At 39.5% G+C, this 27317-nt stretch overlaps 1 protein-coding gene and 1 pseudogene across 23 annotated transcripts in view; both read right to left on the bottom strand.

Moving 5' to 3' along the window:
* The window catches only part of PATJ (PATJ crumbs cell polarity complex component), a 421436-nt gene that overhangs the window by 342880 nt on the left and 51239 nt on the right, over nt 1-27317 (bottom strand). For all 23 annotated transcript variants that reach the window (XR_007061928.1, XM_011540462.4, XM_011540467.4 and 20 more), the window contains 5 exons: nt 25478-25569; nt 23608-23749; nt 19267-19413; nt 15512-15588; nt 12506-12562 (listed from right to left, as the gene is read on the bottom strand). Coding sequence is in view for 22 of the 23 variants with exons in the window: in XM_011540462.4 (XP_011538764.1) it covers nt 12506-12562; nt 15512-15588; nt 19267-19413; nt 23608-23749; nt 25478-25569 (515 nt within the window). In the remaining variant the exon portion in view is untranslated. The remainder of the gene's footprint in view (nt 1-12505; nt 12563-15511; nt 15589-19266; nt 19414-23607; nt 23750-25477; nt 25570-27317) is intronic.
* On the bottom strand, nt 4514-4617 carry RNU6-414P (RNA, U6 small nuclear 414, pseudogene; annotated as a pseudogene).

Below are 27317 nucleotides of genomic sequence, written 5' to 3'. Positions count from 1 at the left end.
TTCCTCCCGTTCCCTCTCTTGTGCTTTCTTTCTTCCTCACTGCTGCCACTTCATTCTCCTGTCATTGTACCAAATCATGGGTATGGATAGCTAAGGAGATATTAGTGTCATGTAGCAGGACATCTAAAGGAGGTGAGGAAAAGCTCTCAGAGAAATGCTTCTGTATTAACAGTTTACCACTCATCTCTGCCAACTGTCTTCCTTCCTTGTTTATGAGCCAGATGCTACAGGGCAAAGAGTTGCCAGTGGATCCACCATAGCTCATCCCCAGTGCGGTGCTGGGTCTTATACTGGCTTGAGAGCAGACTGCTAAATTTTCACTGATTTTGCAAGCCAGTTGTTAAACAATTTAAAATTAAACCATATAAAGTTACAATTAATAAAAATAAATGTAGGCCGGGTGTGGTAGCTCACACCTTTAATCCCAACACTTTGGGAGGCCAAGGCGGGCAGATCACCTGAGGTAGTGAGTTCAAGACCAGCCTGACCAACATGGAGAAACCCCATCTCTACTAAAAATACAAAATTAGCTGAGTGTGGTGGCACATGCCTGTAATCCCAGCTATTCGGGAGGCTGAGGCAGGAGAATCGCTTGAGCCCAGGAGGCAGAGGTTGCAGTGAGCTGAGACTGAGCCATTGCACTCTAGCCTGGGCAACAAGACTGAAACTCCGTCTCTAAATAAATAAATAAATAAATAGGCCAGGCACGGTGGCTCACGCCTGTAATCCCAACACTTTGGGAGGCCGATGTGGGTGGATTGCCTGAGGTCAGAAGTTCAAGACCAGCCTGGCCAACTGAAACCCTGTCTCTACTAAAAATATAAAAATTAGCTGAGCATGGTTGGGCACACCTGTAATCCCAGCTACTTGGGAGGCTGAGGCAGGATAATTCCTCGAATCCAGGAGGCAGAGGTTGCAGTGAGCCGAGATTGTGCCACTGCACTCCAGCCTGGGCGACAGAGCGAGACTCCATCTCAAAAAATAAATAAATAAATTAATTAAATACAGTAAAATAAAAATAAAAATAAATGTAACAAGTACTCAAAATGCATCACTTCCTAATTATTTTTCACTCTTTTACTAATATCTATGTTCATGAAGTGATTTATATCTACTATATCTGTACAGAGAGGAACACTCTCTATCAGAACTCAAAGAACACTGAGGGGTGGACAACTGAAAGAGACACATGAAGTGCTTGGTTTGGTTAGTTGCTAAATGCAGGTGGGACAAGTGATTAAACAGTCTTACTCCTACAGAGAAGCCTGCAGCATTGAAGCGCTACTGTGCATTGCCTCTCAGCTCACTGATCAGTGACGCCATTTTGGTAGCTTTATATCTGCCATGGTGGGAGTATTTACACCACAGATATTGGTACATGCTACAAATTGGAGCTGCCTTCCCACCCGCGCCCCCCCACCGCCGCCTGCCGCCCCACGCTGCTTTTGAGAGCTAGAAACTTACCAGCATACCACTGATCTATAATATAGTTTGGACATGATATTCAGCATATATGTACGGGGTATAAACTGTGTGCAAGGCATTGGGCTATGAGCTGGAAATATAGGATGAAGTCTTTGCCCTCCTAGAACTAACATCTAGCATGGCAGACAAATAAATAGGCAAAAAGGTAAGTAGACAAAGCAAATACATAAATAAACAACCAATCAACAAGCAGCAGGATTATCACAGTCCTGATATGATAGGCAAAGAATATAAGGAAACACATCCAAGGAATGTGTGACCGTTGTGTGAAAAACAAACAAGCAGTTACTAATTGTGTTAAGTGCTGCAAGGAAGGAATCAGGGTTATGATATCAGAGCCCCACTAGTGGAGGTCATTTTGGGAAGTTGGTCAGAGCAGGCTCCACAATGAAGGGGACACTTAAGGTGAGACTTGAGGGATAACAGTGAGTCAGCCCTACAAAAAAGCCTACTGGGGGATGGCTGTGGGAGGTGAGCAAAAAGGATAATTGCTAAATTTCTGGTTTGAGCAAATGAGTACATGGTGGTAACAACTTCTGCATAGAAATAAGGGTCCAAATTAAAACAAAGATCCCACTGTACACACAGAGATCTTTGCTACTTACATAATGACATGCCCTCATACAAGATAAAAGGGTTAAGGCAAGAACTGGTTCCAATCCTCTCCCAATCCGCATCTATTCATATGATGACCCCCATTCCCACCTCCATGGAACAGCTGGAGTCAGGATTCGCAGAGGCTCACCCATGTCATCTCGTGCCCTCCAGACATGGGCTGTGCCTTCTAGGCTATTCCCCCAGGTATCTGTAAACACCACATGCTCCCTAGAAAACTTAAATGGTGAACAAAACATGCTCTATCTTCAATTAGGGTGAACAAATAAACCAGAAACAATGCTTATGAAATCTGTCAATCTGAAGGATGCCTACCTAATATTAGTTCTGAATCTAAATCTGAGTACAGCTGGGTTTCTAAGATTTCATGTTACATTGCTGCAAGCTTCTCTGCGGGAGCAGGACTGTTTAATTACCTGTCCCAGCTGCATTTAGCAACTAAACAAATCAAGCATTTCATCTGTCTCTTTTAGTTGTCCACCCCTTTCAGTATGCAGAGTTCTTAGCAGCAAGTGCTGAAATGACAGAGTGAGTGAAACAGACGACTGGTGCCTTCACACACACCGCATGTCATGCTTTTTGATGCTTATTCAACGTTTTGTGAGGGGTTCTATTTAAACTGACAAAGTTAATGAGCAACAGGATTTTCATGATCCTGATATAAGTAAAGGATACAAGGAAATGTATTCAAGGGAAGCATGGCCATTGTGTGCTTTACTGTCAGTGCAAAAATGAAGATCAAATGAGATCAAGAAGGCTTGAGGCCTTCTGCCCACAAGTGGCGAGACCTATCATGAAACAAACTACAGCCCATTCCTTTTGCTCAAAGCTTTACTTTTAGGATACTATAACAGGATATCAAAATGCTTAAGCGGGAATATAAATGATATTGCTTCAGGGGGAGAAGAAACTTCTGGAAAGGTATGCTTCAAAAAGGTGTCGGTGGGATGGGGAAGGATTTTCCAAAAATGTTGAACTTGACAGAAAACAGAACAGAAAGAACCCATGATTGGTTCTTGTAACTCTCACACACAAAGTATTAAATAGCCATTTATGTTTAAAGATTAGGGAGTTACTAAATTTACCATAAATAAAAAACAAACTTTTCAAGAATGAGGCTACAAGTTTTAAAGTAATGGAAAACCACAAGCATGATGGCCTCCGAACTTAGGTGTGCCCCCTCAGAGGTTATACAAAACAAACGATCCATTAGAGCTTCATTTATGTTTTGTTTTTCTCACCCTTCCAAAATTTTATTTTATTTTATATTTTTTGAGACAGAGTTTCGCTCTTGTTGCCCAGGCGGGAGTGCAATGGTGCGATCTCGGCTCACTGCAACCACCGCCTGTCAAGTTCAAGTGATTCTGCCTTAACCTCCCCAGCAGCTGGGATTACAGGTGCACACCACCATGCCCAGCTAATTTTTGTATTTTTAGTAGAGATGGGGTTTCATCATGTTGGTCAGGCTGGTCTTGAACCCCTGACCTCAGGTGATCCACCCACCTCGGCCTCCCAAAGTGCTAGGATTACAGGCGTGAGCCACCGCTCCCGGTCCCCTCCAAAATTTTAATTCAGAATGTTCAAAAAATGTGTAACAGGTACTCTGTTATACAGTAGTAAATTGAAAGTTCTCTTCAGTCACCTAATACTAAGGTCAAACATCAGTTGCTATTTAGCATTTTATATATAATTTATGTTTCCTGCCTGGCCCATGTGATATATCTGAATTTTTGATACTTGAACTAACACTTTGCATTTGGCTTTCTCCCCCTACCTATGTTCACGGTAGTGCCTTCACCTGAAATACCCATTGTACTCATTTGTACTCCAAATCTATTCTTCAGAGCATAGTTCAAATGCCATCCTACCAATAAGCTTCCATCTGTCTTGAGGAAGTAATATCCTTCTAGAACACACATTAGGCATTTTAGCAGTATCTGAATAATAATTCTCTACGGAGTGAGGCAAGAAAGGAATCAAAATTCCCTTTAGGAACCTTACCCCAAACCTACAGAATCAGAGTATCAGCAAGGAGGAACAAAACAGGGCATGTGTATTTTGAAAGAGCTCCTGGGATGTTTCTGATATGCCACCTGCACTACTAGGTAACCACTGCTACTATAGTTATTTGATTCTGTGTCTTACGTTCTCCACTTAAAAAGAGAGCAGCAAAGTATAAAATTACATCCTGGAGAACTGATAACAGCATTGCTTCTGTGGATGAGAGGACTGGGGTGGGAGAAAAAAATCACCTTTTGCAGTACATATTTCTATACCTTTTAAATTGTACGTCTTGCCCATATATTATCTATTTAAAATTTAAAAGAAGAAAAAAGAATGATGCCAGCTTAGAAGCCAGATAACCCTTGATTTGTTTCCTTTTTTGAAAATTTTTTTATAAATTTATTTTTTAATAGTTCTGGAACACTTCACGAATTTGTGCGTCATCCTTGCACAGGGGCCATGCTAATCTCTGTATCATTCCAATTTTAGTATATGTGCTGCCTAAGCAAGCATATGATTTGTTTCCTAATTCCACCCCCTTACTAGCTGCATATGATCTTGGGCAATTTACTTTTACTGCCTGACAGTCAAGTTTCCCATATTAAAAATGGGAAGGGGAAAATGCTTGCTGACCAATAAGGTTACTATTAGAAATATAGGAGAAAATATATTTAAAGCAAAGAACCGGCCCTGGTAACTGAACAGTAACATCCACCATAACTCTTGGAAAGCCCAGTACATCCCTCTTGCCTTAAAAATTATATTTGTTCATTATAAAGTGGTTGGGGAGAAACCATATTTTAATGTTCTCCAGGTCAGGAAATATAACTCAAGAGAGAAATAAAGTTAAATTTGTCAACTTTTTTTGTCAAAACCAGAGAGCAGGACCTGGTGTTTTTGTTTCCCACACAAGCGATATTACTGATGCTCACTTCATATTACAATTGATGGCCAGCAGAAAGGTCACTAGAATGAGCTTAATGCTTCTCCCTCATAGAGCTGTTATTATCTTAATAGTAAACACTTGCCAAGAAAGCCATCCCTAAAAGTGCAAGTCTCCCTAGATGCGGGAAAACTGTTCTTGTGTCATGATTAACAGCTTCCTAGAAGCAGTGCAGCTAATGCTTAAGTCACTGTAAATAGCTTTCACCTCCCTCTTTCTCCACAACTCCACCTACCTCAGAAGAAAATCTTATCTATTAACATTAGCCCATAATATATGAAGATGCTTCTTTTTTTAAAAATATAGAGACAGGGTCTCCCTCTGTTGACCAGGTTGGTCTCAAACTCCTGGCCTCGAGATCCTCTGCCTCAGCCTCCCAAAGTGCTGGGATTATATGCATAAACCACCCCGCCCAGTCATGTAGATGCTTCTGGAATCATCCCTTCAAGAGTGATGGCCATGGGATGGCAACCATCTAAAAGCAGCTAGACCCATAGAAACATAATTGTTCTAATCAGAAAGCTGATGAGACAGAGGAAAAACCTCCAGCCTGGACCTAAGATCATAGACAAAACCCTGCTCAAAACCTCCCACTGGTGTTACCTGTGACTGAGGATAAAGTCCATACATATCACAGTGGCTCCCAAGGGGCCCTTTAACACCTAGTCTTCCTCTGCAGCATCATTTAACAATATTCTGCTCTTCACTTAGTTTGACCCAGACACTCTGAAAGAAACAACTTCTATTCCCCCAACACACAAGCCCTTTCCCACAGCAGAGCCACTGTACTTGCTGCTTCTCTTTTCCACATTCTTATCCTTCAAGCCTGGGCTCAGAAAGGCTTTCCCTGGCTCCCTCTGAAGTGTCCCCCACCCCAGTTATGCTCAATTTACTGTTTATTCATTTGCAGCACTTCTTACAATCTACAACTATCTTATCAAGTTATTTTTTACTTGTCTATTACCATGCCCCTATACAATCGCAGAATCTAAGCTCTATGAGAGCAAGGACCCTTTCCATTTTGCTTCCCACAGATGGTAGCACAGTGTCTGGCACAGAGTAGGAGCTCAGTAAATAGTTCAGGAATGGATGAATGCATTCTAAGCTACCACCTGCCTCTGCTATGATCTAGTTGTATAATTTCGGTCAAGTCATTCAACCTAGGCAACCTTTACTATCCTCTTGTCTGTAAAATCGGTTTTGACTGGTTAGTTAAAATCTCCCTTATATATTGTAGGGAGAAATTAGTAGCTACTGAATTAGGACGCAAATTTCCAATTATAAGAGGATTTTTAAAAATCATAGCTGATCAAAATGAAGAAAAATTCTATGGACATTTAATAAGTAAGAAATTAACGTAGAAAAATGTAAAAATATATGATAATGTTACATGGAAAAACTACACACCCCTTCTATCCCACATACATGCGCGCGCGCGCGCACACACACACACACACACACACACACACTAAACAAAAGGCAGGTAATACTGACTGCAAATACATAAATATGTAGCTAACAACTAAATACGTAAAGAGAATAATGCGGCCGGGCACGGTGGCTCACGCCTGTAATCCCAGCACTTTGGGAGGCCAAGGTGGGCGGATCACCTGAGGTCAGGAGTTCAAGACCAGCCTGGCCAACAAGGTGAAATCCCGTCTTTACAAAAATACAAAAATTAGCTGGGCGTGATAGCAGGTGCCTGTAATCCCAGCTACTCGGGAGGCTGAGGCTGAAAAATTGCTTGAACCCAGCAGGCGGAGGTTGCAGTGAGCCGAGATGGTGCCATTGCACTCCAACCTAGGCAACAGAGCGAGACTGAATCACTGAATCTCAAAAAAAAAAAAAAAAAAAAAAAGAAGAGAATAATGTAATTTTGGGTGACTCTTTTTCTTCTAGTGAAGAAAACAGGGAAACAAGAAAAGCAACTTTTTGCCACAACCAAATTTCAATTAATTAAATGTTTTTAAAAGCATATTAAAAGAAAAAGACCTTTGGAAGTTCAGTCTAAAAGTGCTAGAGGCATATAACTGGGAAACAAAACTACCATTTATTGGCCATTTCTTATATCTTGGCACTAAGCTATATTAATTAAGGTATATACGAAATACTATTTCTCTTTAGTCTTCTACAACACAATTATTATTGTTCATATTATTTAGAGAAAAAATTAGGCCAGTTATTACCTCCGAAAGCATTTCATCAAATGTTACTTTCTTAAACCTTCCCTGACCAACCTATCTAAACTTGCAAATAAACCCCCACTCCTGAATTTCCTATGTTCCCTGCCTTAATATTCTCCATGGCACATATCACCTATACGGTATAACTTACTTATTTTTGGCCTCCTCCCATTAAAATATAAGTTCTATAGGACAGGAATTTTTCTTCCTGCTTTGTTCTCTTCTGGAACCCGAGCACCCAGTAGCGGACCTAGCACAGTGTACATATAATACATATTTGATGAATGAATGAACAGCCAAATGTACTAGTGAGTTTTTATAAGGTGGTTCTGAAAGTGTGTTCAACTCAAAGCCCTTCTGCCCATTTATACCAGAGTTACTGAGTACAAATATGTATATGTGTGTATGTGTGTGTGTGTGTGTGTGTATATATATATATATATATATATATATATATATATATATATATATGTACATTCCATAGAGGTTGATCAGGAAAGACAACACAGTAAGTGTGGAGGCAGAGAACTAAGGAGTGAGAGTGAGAAAGAACATCTTCTGCCTGGAGAAAGAGAATCACACTCTTCAAAAATGTACACAAAGTGTGCTTTGTGCCTTTTTTCCTTGCTGTCTTTTACTTATTATAAAACATGATGATTCAGGGTCTTAGGCTTTGAATGTGGGAGGACAGACAAGTAAAGCTGAACCACGTGATGAATGGAGCCTGATCAGGGCAGGACTTCCCTGAAAGGACATATCCTGAGTTCTAAAGTAATATGACACAGGAGGCTAAAAAGCTAATCAGGAAACCCTGGAAAAGCAAAGCAAGTATTTCAGCAGTCCACACTACTAAGGAGAGAAGATTAGAGTTCAGGTTCCACCAGGATAAGAGGACTGGTAAACACCCCAGGGTCTTTCGTGGATTACCCGGGAGGCTGTGTCTTTTTTTATTTTTTTTAGACAGAATCTCGCTGTATTGCCCAGGCTGGAGTCCAGTGGCACAATCTTGGCTCACTGAGGCCTCCACCTCCCAGGTTCAAGCAATTCTCCTGCTTCAGCCTCCCGAGTAGATGGGATTACAGGCACCCACCACCATGCCTGGCTAATTTTTGTATTTTTAGGAGAGACGAGGTTTTATCATGTTGCCCAGGCTGGTCTTGAACTCCTGACCTCAGGTGATCTTCCTGCCTCGGCCTCCCAAAATGCTAGGATTACAGGTGTGAGCCACTGTGCCTGGCCAAGACTGTGTCTTAAAAGTGAAGCAAATCAGAGGTGGTCTGACTCTTACAGAACTGTACCTCTGCCCCGTCTCCAAGATGAGCACCCACCAATACCACCACACACACACACACACACACACACACACACACACTCTCTCTCTCTCTCTCTCTCTCTCTCAGTCACTCACATTCTCTCTCTCTCTCTCTCTCTCTCTCTCTCTCTCTCTCTCTATTCCCTCCCCTTCCTCTATCACCACATTAGCAGGCACGGTAAGACCTCTCTGGACAGAGATAACTGATATCATCTGAAGCCTTTTATAGTTGTCAGATATTTAATCAAATTTTGGCATAACAAGAGATATACCCAAACAAAAAGACAAAACATCGAATGACAGAAACAGATCCAAAGTTGATCCAGATATTGGAATTACTTAAAGTCTTTATAAGCTATGGTTAACATGTTGAAGAAATAGAGGAAAAGATGGCAAATACAGAAATAGATGAAAAATATAGTGTTTTTTTTTTGAGATGGAGTCTCGCTCTGTCGCCCAGGCTGGAGTGCAGTGGCGTGATCTCGGCTCACTGCAAGCTCCGCCTCCCGGGTTCACGCCATTCTCTTGCCCCAGCCTCCCGAGTAGCTGGGACTACAGGCGCCCGCCACCACGCCCGGCTAATTTTTTGTATTTTTAGTAGAGATGGGGTTTCACTGTGTTAGCCAGGATGGTCTCGATCTCCTGACCTCGTGATCCACCCACCTCGGCATCCCAAAGTGCTGGGATTACAGGCGTGAGCCACCGCGTCCAGCCTAGATTTTTTTTTTTTACTTTGGGAATTTAGCTGGAGAATTATAATGTAAAAAGAAATAAAATGAAAATTCCATACTAGATAAATAACTAAAATTAAGCACTTAATAGATGGGCTTTAGCAGCTGATTAGGCACAGGAAATTTAGTAAACTAGAAAACATTTAAATAGAAAATATCTAAGAGTTTAGTGTAAATTAAAGAGCAATTTCATGCAACACTGATTTATATGATAATAATAAAAATAATAATAAGAGCCTGGCTGGGCACAGTGGTTCACACCTGTAATCCCAGCACTTTAGGAGGCCAAGGCTTCACCTGAGGGCAGGAGTTCGAGACCAGCTTGGCCAACATGGTGAAACTCCATCTCTACTAAAAATAGAAAAAATTAGCCAGGCGTGGTGGTGGGCACCTATAATCCCAGCTACCTGGGAGGCTGAGGCAGGAGAATCGCTTGAACCCAGGAGGCGGAGGTTACAGTGAGCCAAGATCACACCATTGCACCCCAGCCTAGGCAATAAAAATGAAACTCCGTCTCAAAAAACAAGAGCCTACTATGTGCTTGCAACTATTCTAGGCATATTACAGTTAATACCTATATAAATCTATGAGGCAGGTACAATATTAAGCATAATAGAGTTAATTCCTATATAAATCTATGAGGCAGGTATTAATATTTCCTTTTTACATACAAAAAACTGAGACATGGACTTTAGATCATTTTCTAAGATTACACAGCTATGAAATTCTGCATAAGCCAGAATTTGAACTCAGGCAGTTTGGTTCTAGAATCCATGTAATCAGTACACTATAATGCAGTAATTAATAACAAATGAAGCTTGATGAGGTGTTTGTCTTTGAGACGGAGTTTCCCTCTTGTTGCCCAGGCTGAAATGCAATGGCGCGATCTCAGCTCATTGCAACATCCGCCTCCCGGGTTCAAGTGATTCTCCTGCCTCAGCCTCCTGACTAGCTAGGATTACAGGTGCCCACTACCACGCCCGGCTAATTTTTTTGTATTTTTAGTACAGACTGGGTTTATTTATTTATTTATTTATTTATTTATTTATTTATTTATTTATTTTTTGAGACAGAGTCTCGCTCTGTTGCCCAGGCTGGAGTGCAGTGGCACGATCTCGACTCACCACAATCTCTGCCTCCTGGGTTCAAGCGATTCTCCTCCCTCAGCCTACCAAGTAGCTGGGGCTACAGGTGCATGCCACCATGCCCGGCTAAGTTTTGTATTTCTAGTAGAGACAGGGTTTCACTATGTTGGCCAGGCTGGTCTCGAACTTCGGACCTCATGATCTGCCCGCCTCGGCCTCCCAAAGTGCTGGGATTACAGGTGTGAGCCACCACACCCAGCTTTGTATTTGTATTTCTTACTCTCATTTTGAATTAAATCCCTCTCAATATATTGAGATGGCATTAATATTTAGTCACTACTCTAATCTGACTTTGTAAATAATTTAAAATTAAACTACAAGGCGAGCCATATTTTCCTCAGATTTTGTACATCTGAGGAAAGCTTGGTCAGTTGGCCGACACAGTCACAACAATGAAGTGACTCAAGATGCAGGTAAACTGGGAAGGGAAGAAAGACTCTCAAGTGTCAGCCTTGAAAATTCAAACCTGGCCAGGCGTGGTGACTCATGCCTGTAATCCCAGCACTCTGGGAGGCCGAGGCAGGTGGATCACCTGAGGTCAGGAGTTCGAGACCAGCCTGACCAACATGGTGAAACCCCATCTCTACTTAAAAAAGAAAAAAATTAGCCGGGGGTGGTGACACATGTCTGTAAAGTCCCAGCTACTTGGGAGGCTGAGGCAGGAGAATCGTTTGAACCCAGGAGGCGAAGGTTGCAATGAGCTGAGATCATGCCACTGCACTCCAGCCTGGGCGACAGAGCAAGACTCTGTGCAAAAAAAAAAAAAGAAAGAAAAGAAAATTGAAACCTATAAAATTATGGCATACATAGCATAAAATCATGGAAGATAAATATTGATTACAAATATTCAACCAAGAAGAAAATGGTAGCACTATCTAAAGACTTTTCAACTTCTTATGAAACCTTCATGGGATGCAGAAAATACATTTTTAGCCTGGCGCTGTGGCTCATGCCTGTAATCCCAGCACTTTGGGAGGCCAAGGTGGGTGGATTACCTGAGGTCGGGAGTTGGAGACCAGCGTGACCAACAGGGAGAAACCTCGTCTCTACTGAAAATACAAAATTAGCCGGGCATGGTGGTGCATGCCTGTAATCCTAGCTACTAGAGAGGCTGAGGCAGGAGAATCGCTTGAACCCGGGAGGCAGAGGTTGCGGTGAGCCAAGATTGTGCCACTGCACTCCAGCCTGGGCAACAAGGGCGAAACTCTGTCTCAAAAAAAAAAAAAAAAAGAAAATACATTCTTAAAACTGCATGTGACAGAAGAGTTTAAGGTAGGCTCAGCACTTATATCCCATGCAGAATTACACTATGACTTCTGAAACCACTCAGGCAAGAACATCTTTCCTTTCTTATCAATTGTTGAGGAGGCCGCCTACAAGGCTTCTCTAAGTTTCAATTGCCCTGGCCTCTGCTTATCCAGAATGGGAATGTTTAGTGACAGGATGCTAAAAAATGTTGGAAAAAAAACTGTCGAAGTTGTCTTCTGGCACCTTGCCAACAGAAATAAAGCTTACCAAAAACGTTTTAAGTTCAAGAACAACTACTGCCTACACTCAGAAGATAAACCACTTTTCTTTCCTTGAACATCTGAACCTGAAGCCTTTTTTAAAGCCTGTATTCCCGGGTCTTGATTTTTAGGAAACATTCATTAAAGGACTCCTTATAATATCTAAAAAACTAACGCACACTGCACAATGTTACTCTGCATACTACCTCTAATGTGGGCAAAGGAGTCAAACCTGGGTTTTGGCTTCTGAACATGACATAGGGATCCTGTGTTCTTCCCAGGCATCATCTTTCATAACAGTGAGACCCATCACATTTCTAGGAAACATGCAAGACTAAATTCTGGAAACTTTAGGTCACAGCACTAATTTAGTTTCTTCAGCAAGAATTTAAAGAAAGTTCTTCAAACGATAAAAAAATGGGCCGAGTTCAGTGGCTCCACCTGTAATCCTAACACTTTGGGAGGGAAACACGGGAGGATCACTTTAGCCTATGAGTTTGAGACCAACCTGGACAACATAGTGAGACCCTATCTCTTAAAAAAAATAAAACTGTTAACTTTGTTATAAAAAATGCTTACCTTTGAATATTTCTGTAACTCAGCATCATCTGCAATCTGTGTGTCCAAAGTAGCAACCTAAATTTACAAAAAAAATTTCCAGTATTTGTAAAAGCATAACTGTATTTCCTCCTACATTTTCTGAAAATATCTGTAAAACCTATATATTGATAACTCTATTTGACCTACATTCCGATACCTTTCTTATATTTTTGAAATCTATAACACATAATGTGAAATTTCAGAGTATATTTGATTTTTTTGTTGTTGTTCTCCACAACAATCTTTTTTCCTAAATTACATAAATTGAACAGAAGGTGATGGGCACATATATATACTATTTTTAAAAATCCATGACCCCTAAAATTTTAATATAATCCTCCATTATCCTGGATGCATAAAAATTTTACTCTTTTGACAAAATCAAAAATATGGCCATTTTTACTTTCAAACCCAAGCCTCAAAACAAAATTTGCAAGGTCAGTAAAGTCAGATGTGTTTGGAAAAACTAAAGCATCTGACTTTCCACAACAAGCTCAAACCATTTCCCCAGGAGAAATAGCTGGCAAAGACATAAACGGAAAGACCTGGTCCTTGGTGGAAAGCTCATGGAATACTTAAAGCTTTTAATCCTGGCCTAAAACTATTGTTCTAAGCTTCAATGGTGGACATCCACAGAAGTGAATTCCTTGCAAGCAAAAGTATGTTACTGATGATTTGCATCTGTAACTTGTTAATAAAATATGATGCATCTGGCGGGAAGGGATAAGTTAAACAATGACCCAACTACAGCTTCTGAAAGTACTGCATTTCAGATAAGCAGATCCTGTAAGAAAGTTTTTTAACAAAATAAGAAATATTGGAGTACACGCATTCATTCATTCTCCATCATGCCTAGCTTCTTTCTGCCAACCATTCCTCGGTACAAGATGCTACAACTTTTAATGGATAGCTGTCACTTTAAATTTCCAACTTCAAATTCTGTCTCCTCTTTATAATTTGTCTGTTATGACCTCACCATGTAATAAATAAATGAAATTTAAAAGTTTAATTATAAGGAGAATAAAATTTTAACAGAAGGCTGGCAGTGGCTCATGTCTGTATCCCAGAACTCTGGGAGGCCAAGCAGGGTGGATCACTTGAGCCCAGGAGTTCGAGACCAGACTGGGCAACACAGCGAGACACCATCTCTAAAAAAATTTGAAAAATTAAGCGAGCGTGGTGGCTCATGCTTGTAGTTCCAGCCAGTCAGGAGGCTGAGGTGGGAGATCACTTGAGCCCAGAAAGTTGAAGCTGCAGTGAACTATGATTGTACCACTGCATTCCAGCCTGGGCAACAGAGAAAGACCCTGTCTCTCAAAAAAATGTTTTTTTGTTTTTTGTTTTGTTTTGTTTTGTTTTTGAGGTGGAGTCTCCCTCTTTTGCCCAGCTGCAGTGCAGTGGCACGATCTCAGCTCACCACAACCTCCGCCTCCCAGGTTAAGCAATTCTCCTGCCTCAGCCTCCTGAGTAGCTGGGATTACAGGTGCCCACTATCACACCCAGCTAATTTCTGTATTTTTAGTAGATACAAGGTTTCACCATGTTGGCCAGGCTGGTCTCAGACTCCCGACCTCAAGTGATCCACCCTTCTTGGCCTCCCAGAGTGCTGGGATTACAGGTGTGAGCTACTCCACCCGGCCTAAAAAATGTTTTTAACAAAAAAAAGAGCCCATCATAAAACTGGCCATTTGTAAATACTGTTACAGCAAATTTATTTGAATACCAAACCACTAAGATAAGTAGGAAATGCCATTTGCTAGGTGATAGCCTAATAACCATATTCAAAATCTGTGAAGCAAAGAAACAGCAGCTCATGAGAACTGACACACAGGCATAAAGTTACCAAGAGAAAGTGTGAATTGTATTGACTCATCTTTTTTTTTTTTTTTTTGAGGCGGAATCTCGCTCTGTCACCCAGCCTGGAGTGCAGTGGCATGATCTCCGCTCACTGCAAGCTCCACCTCCCAGGTTCACGCCATTCTCCTGCCTCAGTCTCCCGAGTAGCTGGGATTACAGGCGACCGCCACCACGCCCGGCTAATTTTTTGTATTTTTAGTAGAGACGAGGTTTCACCATGTTAGCCAGGATGGTCTCGATCTCCTGACCTCGTGATCCGCCCGCCTCGGCCTCCCAAAGTGCTGGAATTACAGGCGTGAGCCACCGCGCCCGGCCTTGACTCATCTTAATGACACTGAAAATTCTGTGACAACAGATGGTGGTTAGGTAATCTAAACCAAAAAGATTTTAAAAATCTCCAACCAGCCAACCAGTACTAATTATAAACATATGTAAGAAAATGTGAATGAGAGTAGAAATGTAAAAGAGTATTTTATTACTAATGCATTTAGTGAACACTGTAGAGGCTTGTCTAAGCACAACCGTCTGCCTTCATGTGGATTCATATGGGGAAATGTAATCAGTCCCTTACTCAATGAATCTAATAGCAGGTGAAAGGAAGTCTAATGGACCACTGGCACTATAAACTTATACCTAACCTAAATTACTTCCTGTTCTTCCAAATACATTTGATAATCATTCTTTCATTTTTCACATAAAACTGTAAGATTCTTTGTGAAACATAGGACTAATATCCACAGTCCTTTCAGTGTACAATAAAACAAACAGATCATAAAAGCAATCATAAAAATGCCAGCAATTTTAAGCAGCTGATACAGGTTATAAATTTAAAGGCAAGCCCTCTCTCCCAACAGTTTTCTGTCTATTGTCGACTTAAATGGTTTCAACACGAACTGAGTGTCTCCTAATGTTAACTGAAGTTTGTGTGCAGTCCTTAATTATTCTTACTGCTTAAAATGCTAAAGATGGGGGGAAAAAAATCGATTGATCCACTAGGGAAGAAAGGCAGGAAGGAAAAATAAAGTCAGGCGGGCTATTCTTTGACTCACCCATTTCTTTGGATCGTACTGTTAGAAACTTGATGTGAAATGAGACATGAATGTTTTTTATTAGAGCATTTTAACATACCATTACTTCATAATCAGGACCCAACAGGTTTTCCCATCTGGATTTCAGCTCATTTTCTGGAGAGTCTGGGACTTTTTCTGGATATTAAAAAAAAAGAGAGAGAGCGAGAGAATGTTGAAACTACTGTGAGCCAAACACACTTAACTGCTAAATTCTTCAATAACAGCCCAGTTTCAGTAAGTAAAGGGGAAATGAATAAAAAGGAAAATGCATTAACTTAGGTCTGCTAGGTAAAGTAAATCAGAGGTGACTTATAAAACTAACATAAAATGTAAAGATCAGCTGTGACCAAATTATGAAGGTGCTTTTGTTGTTAAGGGATATTTTAAAGGAAAGAGGACGTGATGAGTTATACATGAAATTTAAATTATATACAGTTTATATGTAAATATCCTATAGTTTACAAGTAAAATGCATGTGGCTTTGCTTTATAATACATTAGGACATAGAAGGATTTAATTTAAATGTTAATCACTTCAAAGTAGTTCCATTCCAGCTGCCCACTAGAAAAGTAAAAACTTACCAAGATATCTTTACTATCAGCAGCGCATATCAACACAATACATTCAGACTTTTCACATGGGTAGCTATAAAGGCTTGTCTGGTTTAATTCAGTCAAAGTTCCATGAGCTTTAATACAATAGAAACTTTGGTTTCACACTAGTCTTTTGTTGCTTGGTTATTAAGATATTTGTATCTTTACGACTTTTTTGAGTGGAATACTGTCTTTGTTGCATAGATAATTTTACAGTGCCAAAACAGATTTTAAGTGTCTTGCCTGTCCTCCACATGACTGTAGCCAGAAGCTCAGTGCACGGTGCATAGTATGAATAATGTCTAACAGGCAAAAGTCAAAGTACTAAAACTGAAGTTATACCTTATACCCATAGCAGTAGCAGAAAATGAACAAACTTCTACGTTTTTTAACTTAAAGAAAAACTGTCTCAATTTTGTCTTAAGATTAAACAAGTCACAGAACAGTTATCACAACTGATATAACCATCTGCCTAAAATCAAATGTTAACTTGCAGTATCAGCTCTTTCAGTCTTCAGCATGGACAGCTCATCTTGGATGCATATAATGTTTAATCACATAATACAAATCATTAAGTGAAACAGGCTAACCTCAAAAATCAGTGACTAAGACTAATGAACATTAAAGAACTTAAATTACTACATTTATAAAAGAATACCCATGAAATAACTATATCAATTGCTATGCTAGATTACATTTAGGTGATAACTAACCAAAGATCCTATTAAAAACAAAAAATCAAATTCATTTGGGCTCTGCACCTTTGCACCTATTCCTGTTAGCATTTCCTTAAGAAATTACATTAAGAGTTCTAACATCTTGCCTCATAAATTTCTTCTAGGCAGTAATTTCTTAACTGGTAAACAAAACTGAACAAAATTGGCAATTTATTTGTTGAATTCTAAACTTAAAAACATGGCTCTCATATGACAGTTAATATAAATGTATAAAATAATGTTGACATTTCACCAGCAATTTTTTTGACTATATTTTTACCTTTCAGTTGTACAATGAAAACACAGTCATGTGTTTTAAACCACAGTACAAAGGCCTAAGTGCTGGAGAAAAGAGATATGCTTTCAGCAGCTCAATAAATCCTAGGCTACACAAAATGATCAAAAAATGAATAACATGATGATCTGAAATAATTATTCCAAAGACAAAAAGAGAGCTAACCTCATAGCAGTTAGTAGATTTTGATTTTACTCTAAAGCTAAAATTATACATATGCAAGAAGAAAAAAACGTAGTGAAGTTGATCCAAAAAGCACACATAAAATATTTCTAAAACTAATACTTCCTGGTCAACTGTAAGTATAATTTTTAATTTTTGCATATATAACCAAAAATGGTATGTCATTTTTAAAATCTGTATTTCTTTCATTGCGAATGAGGTTGATATGCCAGTGTTGTTATTGGCTTTTTGTATTCCTCTTTCGTGAACCATCTGTTCATTGTCTTTACCGGTTTTCGTTTTAGCAAGTAGGACTTGATTTAAAACGGGAACATAACATATAAGATGCCAAGACCGTTATATTGATGACGAAAATCTTGTAGTGCATGTGTTGGAGTTAAAGTCTTAAGTATCAAGAAGTAAAATAATTTCATTGTTTCTATTACTAACATTAAAAGTTGAGTGCAAATTGTATAAAATTAGGTACTTTGATTAGTAAAAAAAAAATTGAATGTTTTATCTTTTATTTATTTTATTAAGCATGCCCAGTTATGCCAAGCATAGTAAATAATGTTTTTAAAAGGTCATGTAGCATTTATAATAGAGGAGTATTGTTATCCCTAGTATAAGTGTAATGGTGATACGAAAAACTTTGTCTTGTCATTGTAATAATAAAAAAATGAACATTATGGAAAAAATACTTCTAAAACTATATCTAATTTCAGAATGTACTTGATTTTCATCTGACATTTTTCTGAAAATCTGAGCTCAACTCAGATTTGCAAAGATAAACTGCAATCTACTTGAGTCAAAAAGAACAAGGTAAATTTCCAAATCATAGGCTATTCTTTCCTGACCTGAGACAAGACAAAGCCAAAAGCCAAAACTTCTCGGGAACATGGATGGTGTTAAGTACTCAAGGAGTTTCATTTAGCTGGCGAGGCTTTCCAGAGCACTTTTGTGCAGGGAACTGTGTGCAACTGTTACTCAATGAGCTTGGAGAGTAGAGTCCACTATAATAGCTAAGGTATCAAAATACAAAGTAAAAGGACAAAGCTGCAAATCAATTAAAAAAAATTAAAGAATAAAGGTATAACAGCTTGGCAATTCAATGCAACTTATAGAAATGCATACATTATTAATTTTTATAATAAAAAACATGTATAATGAAAAAGAAACATATGCTATATGTGTATAAACAGCAATAATCTATAGATATAGACATATCAATGATAATATATAAGCTAAGGTGGTTCACGCCTATAATCTCAGCACTTTGGGGGGCCAAAGTGGGAGCATGGCTTGAGCTCAGGAGTTTGAAACCAGCCTGGACAACATAGTGAGACTCCATCTCTACAAAAATTAAAATAAAATAAAATAATTAATATAAGTAAAGAAAGATTAAAATGTTAAATGTTGATATTGGCTGGGCACGGTGGCTCACGCCTATAATCCCAACACTTTGGGAGGCCCAGGTGGGCAGATCACTTGAAGCCAGGAGTTTGAGACCAGCCTGGCCAACATGGTGAAACCCATCTCTACTAAAAATACAAAAATTAGCCCAGTGTGGTGGCATGCACCTGTAATTCCAGCTACTCGGGAGGCTGAGGCAGGAGAATCGCTTGAACCCAGGAGGTGGAGGTTGCAGTAAGCTGAGATCATGCCACCGCACTCCAGCCTGGGCATCAAGAATGAAACTCCATCTCAGGGCCTGTCGTGGGGTGGGAGGAGTGGTGAGGGAGAACATTAGGAGAAATACCTAATGTAAATGATGAGTTAATGGGTGCAGCACACTAACATTGCACATGTATACATATGTAACAAACCTGCACGTTGTGCACATGTACCCTAGAACTTAAAGTACAATTAAAAAAAAAAAAGAAAAAAAAAAGAAACTCTGTCTCAAAAAAAAAGTTGATATTAAGAATATCCTATTTTATGTCTCCAAAATGCCTCTAAGATTTCTCATACTATATTAACTATAAAGACAGAAAATGGTTAACAAATGAAGAAGTCTGTTATCGCAAAGTGAATGCTTTGTGCCTACCCAATTTTTCTAAGGCTTGTATGTTGTCATTTTTTAAAGTATCAATTCTTTCTTTAATTTCCTCATCTTCACCATCCACATTAGTTTCAGTTTCCACTGCTCCAGTTAGAAAGAGAGCTGGTGGTTTCAGTGGTTCTACAACAGTTCCTAAAACAAAAAAAAATAATTTTTTAAAATTTTGTTAATGCTAACTTGAATTATTAGTTGTTGAGGACTATATTTAAGTGAGCAGATTTTACTGCTGTTCTCCCATTTCTCCCATTTCACAACCTTATTAAATCTGAGGTAACTTATATATATGATTCCTTAAACCCAAAATGCCATGTGTAATAGACAACCAATCAATTCCTTAAAAAATGAACTTATTAATGGATTAATGGCATTGAAAAGAATAAGGAACTAAACAATGGGAAGACACATGAAAAAATGCCCACCATCACTGGCCATCAGAGAAATGCAAATCAAAACCACAATGAGATACCATCTCACACCAGTTAGAATGGCAATCATTAAAAAGTCAGGAAACAACAGGTGCTGGAGAGGATGTAGAGAAATAGGAACACTTTTACACTGTTGGTGGGAGTGTAAACTAATTCACCCACAGTGGAAGACAGTATGGCGATTCCTCAAGGATCTAGAACTAGATACACTATTTGACCCAGCCATCCCATTACTGGGTATATACCCAAAGGATCATAAATCATGCTGCTGTAAAGACACATGCACATGTATGTTTATTGCGGCATTATCCACAATAGCAAAGACTTGGAACCAACCCAAATGTCTATCAGTGATAGACTGGATTAAGAAAATGTGGCACATATACACGATGGAACACTACGCAGCCATAAGAAGGATGAGTTCATGTCCTTTGTAGGGACATGGGTGAAGCTGGAAACCATCATTCTGAGCAAACTATCACAAGGACAGAACACCAAACACCACCATGTTCTCACTCATAGGTGAGAATTGAATAATGAGAACACTTGGACACAGGGTGGGGAACATCACACACCGGGGCCTGTTGTGGGGTGGGAAGAAGGGGAGGGATAGCATTAGGAGAACTACCTAATATAAATGATGAGTTAATGGGTGTAGCACACCAACATGGCACATGTACATATATGTAACAAACCTGCACGTTGTGCACATGTACCCTAGAACTTAAAGTATAACAAAAAAATTTAAAAAAAGAAAAGCTTCTGCATAGCAAAATAGGTAGTCAACACAGTAAACAGACAACCTACAGAATGGGAGAAAATATTTGCAAACTATGTCTCCAATGAACAACTAATATTCAGGTTCCAGAAGGAACTCACACAACTCAGTAACAATAAAACAACCCACCATTAAAAAGTGGGCAAAAGACATGAACAGACATTTTCTCAAAAGTAGAATATAAGTAGCCAGCAAACTAACAATCCTGCAATTAAATCCACATTCAAACCACAATGAGATACCATCTCATATCAGTCAGAATGGCCATTATTAAAAAGTCAAAAAACAACTGATATTGGCAAGGATGTGGAGAAAAGAGAACACTTATACACTGTTGGTGGGGATGTAAATTAGTACAACTTCTGTCGATGTGGAAAACAGTATGGAGATCTCTTAAAGAACTAAAAATAGCACAACAATTTGACCCAGTAACTCCACTACTGGGTTTCTACCCAAAGGAAAAGAAATAGTTCTATCAAAAAGACACATGTACTTGTATGTTTATTTCAGCACTATTTGCAAAAGCAAAGCCATGAAAGCAATCTAAGTGTCCATCAACAGATGATAGGATACAGAAAATGTGGTATGTATATATATATAGGCATAAAAAGAATGAAACTATGTTTTGTTTCATGGACTACTATACAGGCATAAAAAGAATGAAATTATGTTTTGTTTTGTTTTCAGCAACATGAATGGTGCTGGAGGCCATTATTCTAAGTGAAATGACTCGGAAACAGGAAATTAAACACTCCATGTTCTCACTAAGCTAAACAATGGGTACACACAGATATGCAGAAGAAGATAATAAACACTGGGGATCCCAGGATGAAGGAGGCTGGTGGAGCGGGGGTGAGGGTTGAAAAATTACATATTCAGTATGATGTTCACTATTTGAGTGATGGGTATACTAGAAGACCAAACCCCAACACTATGCATATATATCCATGTAACAAACATGCACATTTATCCCCTGAATCTATAAAAATAAATTTTAAATTAAAAAAACATTTATATAAATATTTATGTAAGCAATTTAAGGTCAATATGGCATTTGTGCCAGGCGTGGTGGATCACGCCTGTAATCCAAGCACTTTGGGAGGCCAAGGCAGGTGGATCACGAGGCCAGGAGTTTGAGACCAGCCTGGCCAACATAGTGAAACCCCATCTCTACTAAAAACACAAAAAATTAGCCAGGCATGGTGGCGGGCAGCGCCTGTAATTCCAGCTACTGGGGAGGCTGAGGCAGGAGAATCACTTGAACACAGGAGGTGGAAGTTGCAGTGAGCCAAGATCGCGCCATTGCACTCCAGTCTGGGCGACAAGAGTGAAACTCCATCTCAAAAATAAATAAATCAATAAATCATTAAAAAAAATTTTTTTAATGGCATTTGTACAATTTGGACTATTTAGGCAATTTTTAATTTCATACACTGGATGCAGTTGGCAGGGCATCTGTCTTTCAGCAACAAAAGTTCTACTATCACATAAAAGAGAAAAAGTTCCAATTTAAATACAAATCACTATCGGCTGAAAGCAAAGGCTTCCAGGTGTATTGTATCTTCAGAAGAATATTTTCAGAGGAAAAAAATGATCTTCTGTCAAATTCTAATTGAAGTATTTCTTACTCCCTAGTTATACAACTAGTCACTTTTTTTTTTTCTTTTAAGAGACAGGTCTCACTCTGTCACGCAGGCCGGCAGGCAGTGGCATGCTCACTGAAGCCTCAAACTCCTAGGTTCAAGTGATTCTCCTGCCTGAGCCTCCTGAGTAGCTGGGACTACAGGTGGGTGCCACCAGGCCCGGCTAATGTTTAATTTTTTGTAGAGAAGGGGTCTCTCTATGTTGGCCAGGCTGGTCTTAAATTCCTGGCCTCAAGTGATTCTCCTGCCTTGGCCTCCAGAAGTGCTGGAATTACAGGCATGAGCCACCAAGCATGGCTAGAATTACTGCACCCAGTAATTCACTCATTCTAAATTGAATATGTGTTTCCATGATTATCAACTTTTGTTCATCTATATGTTTCTAAGTTGATAATTAAAAACTGACATGCAGCCAGGCACCGTGGTTAACACCTGTAATCCCAGTAGTTTAGGAGGCCAAGGCAGGTGGATCACTTGAGCCCAGGAGTTCAAGACTAGCATGGGCAACACAGGAGAGACCCCATCTCTACAAAAAAAATAAAAATAAATTATCTGGGTATGGTGGTGCTCACCCGTGGTCCCAGCTACTCAGGAGGCTGAGGTAGGAGGATAACTTGAGCCCAGGAAGTAAGGCGGCAGTGAGCCATGAACATGCCACTACACTCCAGCCTGGGCAACAAAGTGAGACCTGTCTAAAAAAAATAAAATACAAATACGTGTTTTATTTTCTCTCAGTATACTTCAAAAAGTAAATCAAGAGGCAGATTAGAATAAAATATATTGTTAAAAGTAATAGGAAACCTGGCTGGGCGCAGTGGCTCACACGTGTAATTACAGCATGTTGGAAGACCAAGGCAGGCAGATCACCTGAGGTCAGGAGTTTGAGACCAGCCTTACCAACACGGTGAAACCCTATCTCTACTAAAGATACAAACAGAATTAGCCGTGTGTGGTGGCACATGCCTGTAGTCCCAGCTACTTGGGAGGCTGAGGCACGAGAATCACTTGAACCCAGGAGGCAGAGGTTGCAGTAAGCCAAGATCGTGCCACTGCACTCCAGCCTAGGCAAGACAGTAAGACTGTCTCAAAAAAAAAAAAAGTAATAGGAAACCCGAAGTCTGCAAAATGTCAAAGTATTAGACAAATGAGATTCCCCTAACAAAAGGTGTCAAAGCTTTATTATTCAAATATACGTAATCAATGAAATTTGAAAGCTTTTAGAAAAAATGATTTTCAACTCCATTTAGAGATGCTCTCAGAGCTTAGTGCATGTCGGGTGCACATCCTACCATTCTGACTGACATAGTAAGCAAAGAAAACACTTGCTTCAGTGAACAAATGAGCTGACTCATTTCTCCATCAGTGTATTACACGAGGTGGGACAACATTTCCTGCTGAGACTCATGGAGCAACTTCCATAATTGAACTGCTCTTCCAAATGTAAACTACTTGAGGGATAGAGGGGTGGCAAATTAATCACCTCTGTCTGAAGGTGGTTCAAGTGGAGAAGTAGATGAGGATGTCTTCCTTCGAACTAGGGTTAGGTGTACCACCTGCCCTGCATTTCGTAATACTTCAACAACATCATGGTTGGCAAAACCCTGAATGTTCACGCCATCGACCTAAAACATCAAGAGAAACATTAAGCAGAGGTTTTAAATTAGCTACTATTTTTAGCTCTGGCAACACTGAATAAAATGAGGCAATTTCTTTCATTCCAAAAATAAATTATTTAGGCCGGGTGTGGTGGCTCACGCCTGTAATCCCAGCACTTTGGTAGGTCAAGGTGGGTGGATCATGGATCACCTGAGGTCAGGAGTTCGAGACCAGACTAGCCAACATGGTGAAACCCCATCTCTACTAAACATACAAAAATTAGCCAGGTGTGGTGGCAGGCACCTGCAGACCCAGCTACTCGGGAGGCTGAGGCAGGAGAATCGCTTGAACCTGGGAGGCAGTGGTTGGAGTGAGCCAAGATTGTGCTATTGCACTCCAGCCTGAGCGACAGAGCAAGATGAAGCAAGGATAGAAGGAGGGAAGGAAAGAGGGAAGGAAAGACGGAAGGAAGGAGGGAGGGAGGGAAGGAAGGAAGGAAGGAGAAGGAAGGAAGAGAGGAAGGGGGGAAAGAAAGGGGAAGAAAATAGAAAGGAAGAAAGGAAGAAAAAAAAGAAAGAAAGAAAGAAAAAGAAAGAAAGAAAGAAAGAAAGAAAGAAAGAAAGAAAGAAAGAAAGAAAGAAAGAAAGAAAGAAAATAAATTTAGACCTTAGGATATATTTTTGAACAAGGATGTAAAACTAGTAAAACATGCTGAGAAACTTCCTCACACACTAGAAAGCAAATTCAAATTTGTCACTTAACTAATAGCCTGAGAGATATAAAGGACTTTAATCTCTGATGCAATTCAAAATTCAAAATGCCATAAAAGATGGCCAGTTATTACACAAGATGTATTAATAGAAGCCATTATTATCAAAACTGAAGAGGTCATCTAATACTTCATCCCTCTATTCATATCACCACATGATATTTTCAAGAAACACACTGATCTCCCTCCAATAGGTCTTCTAGCTTTCTGAAAAAGTGTGAGCAAGAACAGTATTCTTAATCTATGTCAAGCCCAATTCCTGAAGTCTATCAGAACCAATAGGCTTCCTCTCTCAATCTTCTTTGAGCTAGCTGTAAGTATTTCAACTTTCCCCATAAGGCTTTTAAAGCCAAGAGTCATGAAATGTGCTTTCTTAGATAGATTTGAAGGACAAGGATTCAAAGCATACCACCCAGCATTTGTTTCTATGTTAAGCAATGTGTGTGTATACATATGTATAGACATTAATATAAGCGTATATATAAATTGAACTAATTTCTACTAAATGGGGGAAAGACCAGTTTTAATTGATAAAAGGTGATATTATATTCTTAAATATGTAAAATACCTCAATTTTAGTTGTACTTATAATTATTGTTAACAGAAAAACTACTTTTACAAAAAGATAGAAAGAGCTGGTTAATGGCCTATTAATTATAGATAAAATGGGTGAGTTTAAAGAACACAGTGTGGTCCTCGCAGGGTTTTCTAGGATAATGCTAGAACATCTTTCAAACATACATGTATAGAAAAAATATACTTTTTTACCAATATGTTTAGTGAATCCTTTCTTCACTGACGGTGAAAAAAAATTTAATGTAGGAAGAAGAGTCCAAAATAATGAGATTTCACTGTATAACAAACTTAATTTTTTAAAAAACCTTATAAAACTATATTAAGCTATTCCCCCTCTCACATGTATTATAATAATGATCAACCTTTTTTTCAACTAGAATCAAACCTAAAACAGAGGCGAGTTACTTACAGCAACTATTTTGTCATTCACTTGAATGTGGCCATTGTGGTACGCAGCACTGCCAGGTATTATACTTTTCACATAAATCCCTGAAGCTTCCCCTTAAGGTGCACAGACATACGGAAAAAGGAAGAAAATTCTAATTAGGCCTTGATTGCAAAATTTGTATCAAGAGGTTAATTAGCTAACGGGGTTGACTGGAGGTTTGATAAATACTATTTTGAACACAAGCAGAGAAATTGATGGATTATTTCAAACTGCCACCATCTCAAGTGACCTGAATTTGAAATGATTTGACTGATGACTACTCTTCCGTTAAAATAATCAGTAGTGGAACCCTGATGAAATGTACTCTAATTTAAGCTGGAATTCAGGAGAGCCCAGAGGAAGTCTGACTCTCTCTCAGTCTGTCTCTACTCTTATTACTGATGTGGCATAAAACTTCTTTTTTTTTTTTTTTTTTTTTTTACCATCACTATGACAAGAGTCTCCTAGGTCTTCCTGCCTATATTTAGATCACTGCTCATGTTAGCTTCACAGACACAGAAATAAGAAAACTATATATGATCTTTTTGTTTGTTTTTTGAGATGGAGTTTTGCTCTTGTCGCCCAGGCTGGAGTGCAATGGCACGATCTCAGCTCACTGCAACCTCCACTTTCAGAGTTCAAGTGATTCTCCTGCCTCCTGAGTAGCTGGAATTACAGGCGCCCACCACCACACCCAGATAACTTTCGTAATTTTAGTAGAGATGGGGTTTCACCATGTTGGTCAGGCTGGTCTTGAACTCCTGACCTCAGGTGATCCGCCCACCTCGGCCTCCCAAAGCACTGAGATTACAGGTGTGAGTCACCACGCCTGGCCCAGAAAAGTACATATGGTCTTAACAACAACAACAACAACAACAAATTAGTATGAGCTCAGCAACATGAAATAATCTTTACATATTATAAAATAAAACATTGAAACAGACAAATGGCTATAAAAAATTTTTAAATTAAAACTTTGATTTTAAAGCATGCCTTCCCATGGGAAGGGACAGGAAGGGAAATTGGAAAATAAAACACAATAGATCTGCATGATTTTACATTTTTATTTCCAAATAAACTCAAAACATTGTTTGTAGGCCAGGTGTAGTTGTTCACAGTTGTAATCCCAGCGCTTTGGGAGGCTGAGGGGGGAGGATCACCTGAGCCCAGGACTTTGAGGCCAGCCTGGGTGACATAGTGGGATGTCATCTCACAAAAAATTTAAAAATTAGCTAGGTGTAATGGCGCATGCCTGTAATTCCAGCTACTCTGGAGGCTGAGGCATGAGAATCACCTGAGCCCAGGAGCTTAAGGCTTGTCTCTTAAAGAAAAAAAAAAAGTCCGGGCACAGTGGCTCACGCCTGTAATCCCAGCACTTTGGGAGGCTGAGGCGGACAGATCACTTGAGGTCAGGAGTTCAAGACCAGCCTGGCCAACATGGCAAAACCCTGTTTCTACTAAAATACAAAAATTAGCTGGGCATGATGGTGGGCACATCTAATCCCAGCTACTTGGGAGGCTGAGGCAGGAGAATCGCTTGAACCTGGGAGATGGAGGTTGCAGTGAGCCGAGACTGTGCCATTGCACCCCAGCCTGGGCAACAAGAGCGAGATTCTGTCTCAAAAAAAAAAAAAAAATTGTAGAAGAAAAATAAACATAAATCACTTTCCATTGCCAACGAAATAATATATAAATTTCATGGAATCATATTCAAGGCCCTCCATAATCTGCCCAAATTTATTTTTTGACTTCAATTTCCACTACAACTTTCCAAGAAAATAAAAGTCTGGACACACCAGGCTTTTTTTTTTTTTTTTTGAAA

Source organism: Homo sapiens, chromosome 1 (assembly GCF_000001405.40).
Source record: "Homo sapiens chromosome 1, GRCh38.p14 Primary Assembly".
In the NCBI taxonomy this organism is placed as follows: Eukaryota; Metazoa; Chordata; class Mammalia; order Primates; family Hominidae; genus Homo; species Homo sapiens.
Note: the sequence above shows the minus strand (reverse complement) of the source record. Positions and strands in the feature narration are given on the sequence as shown.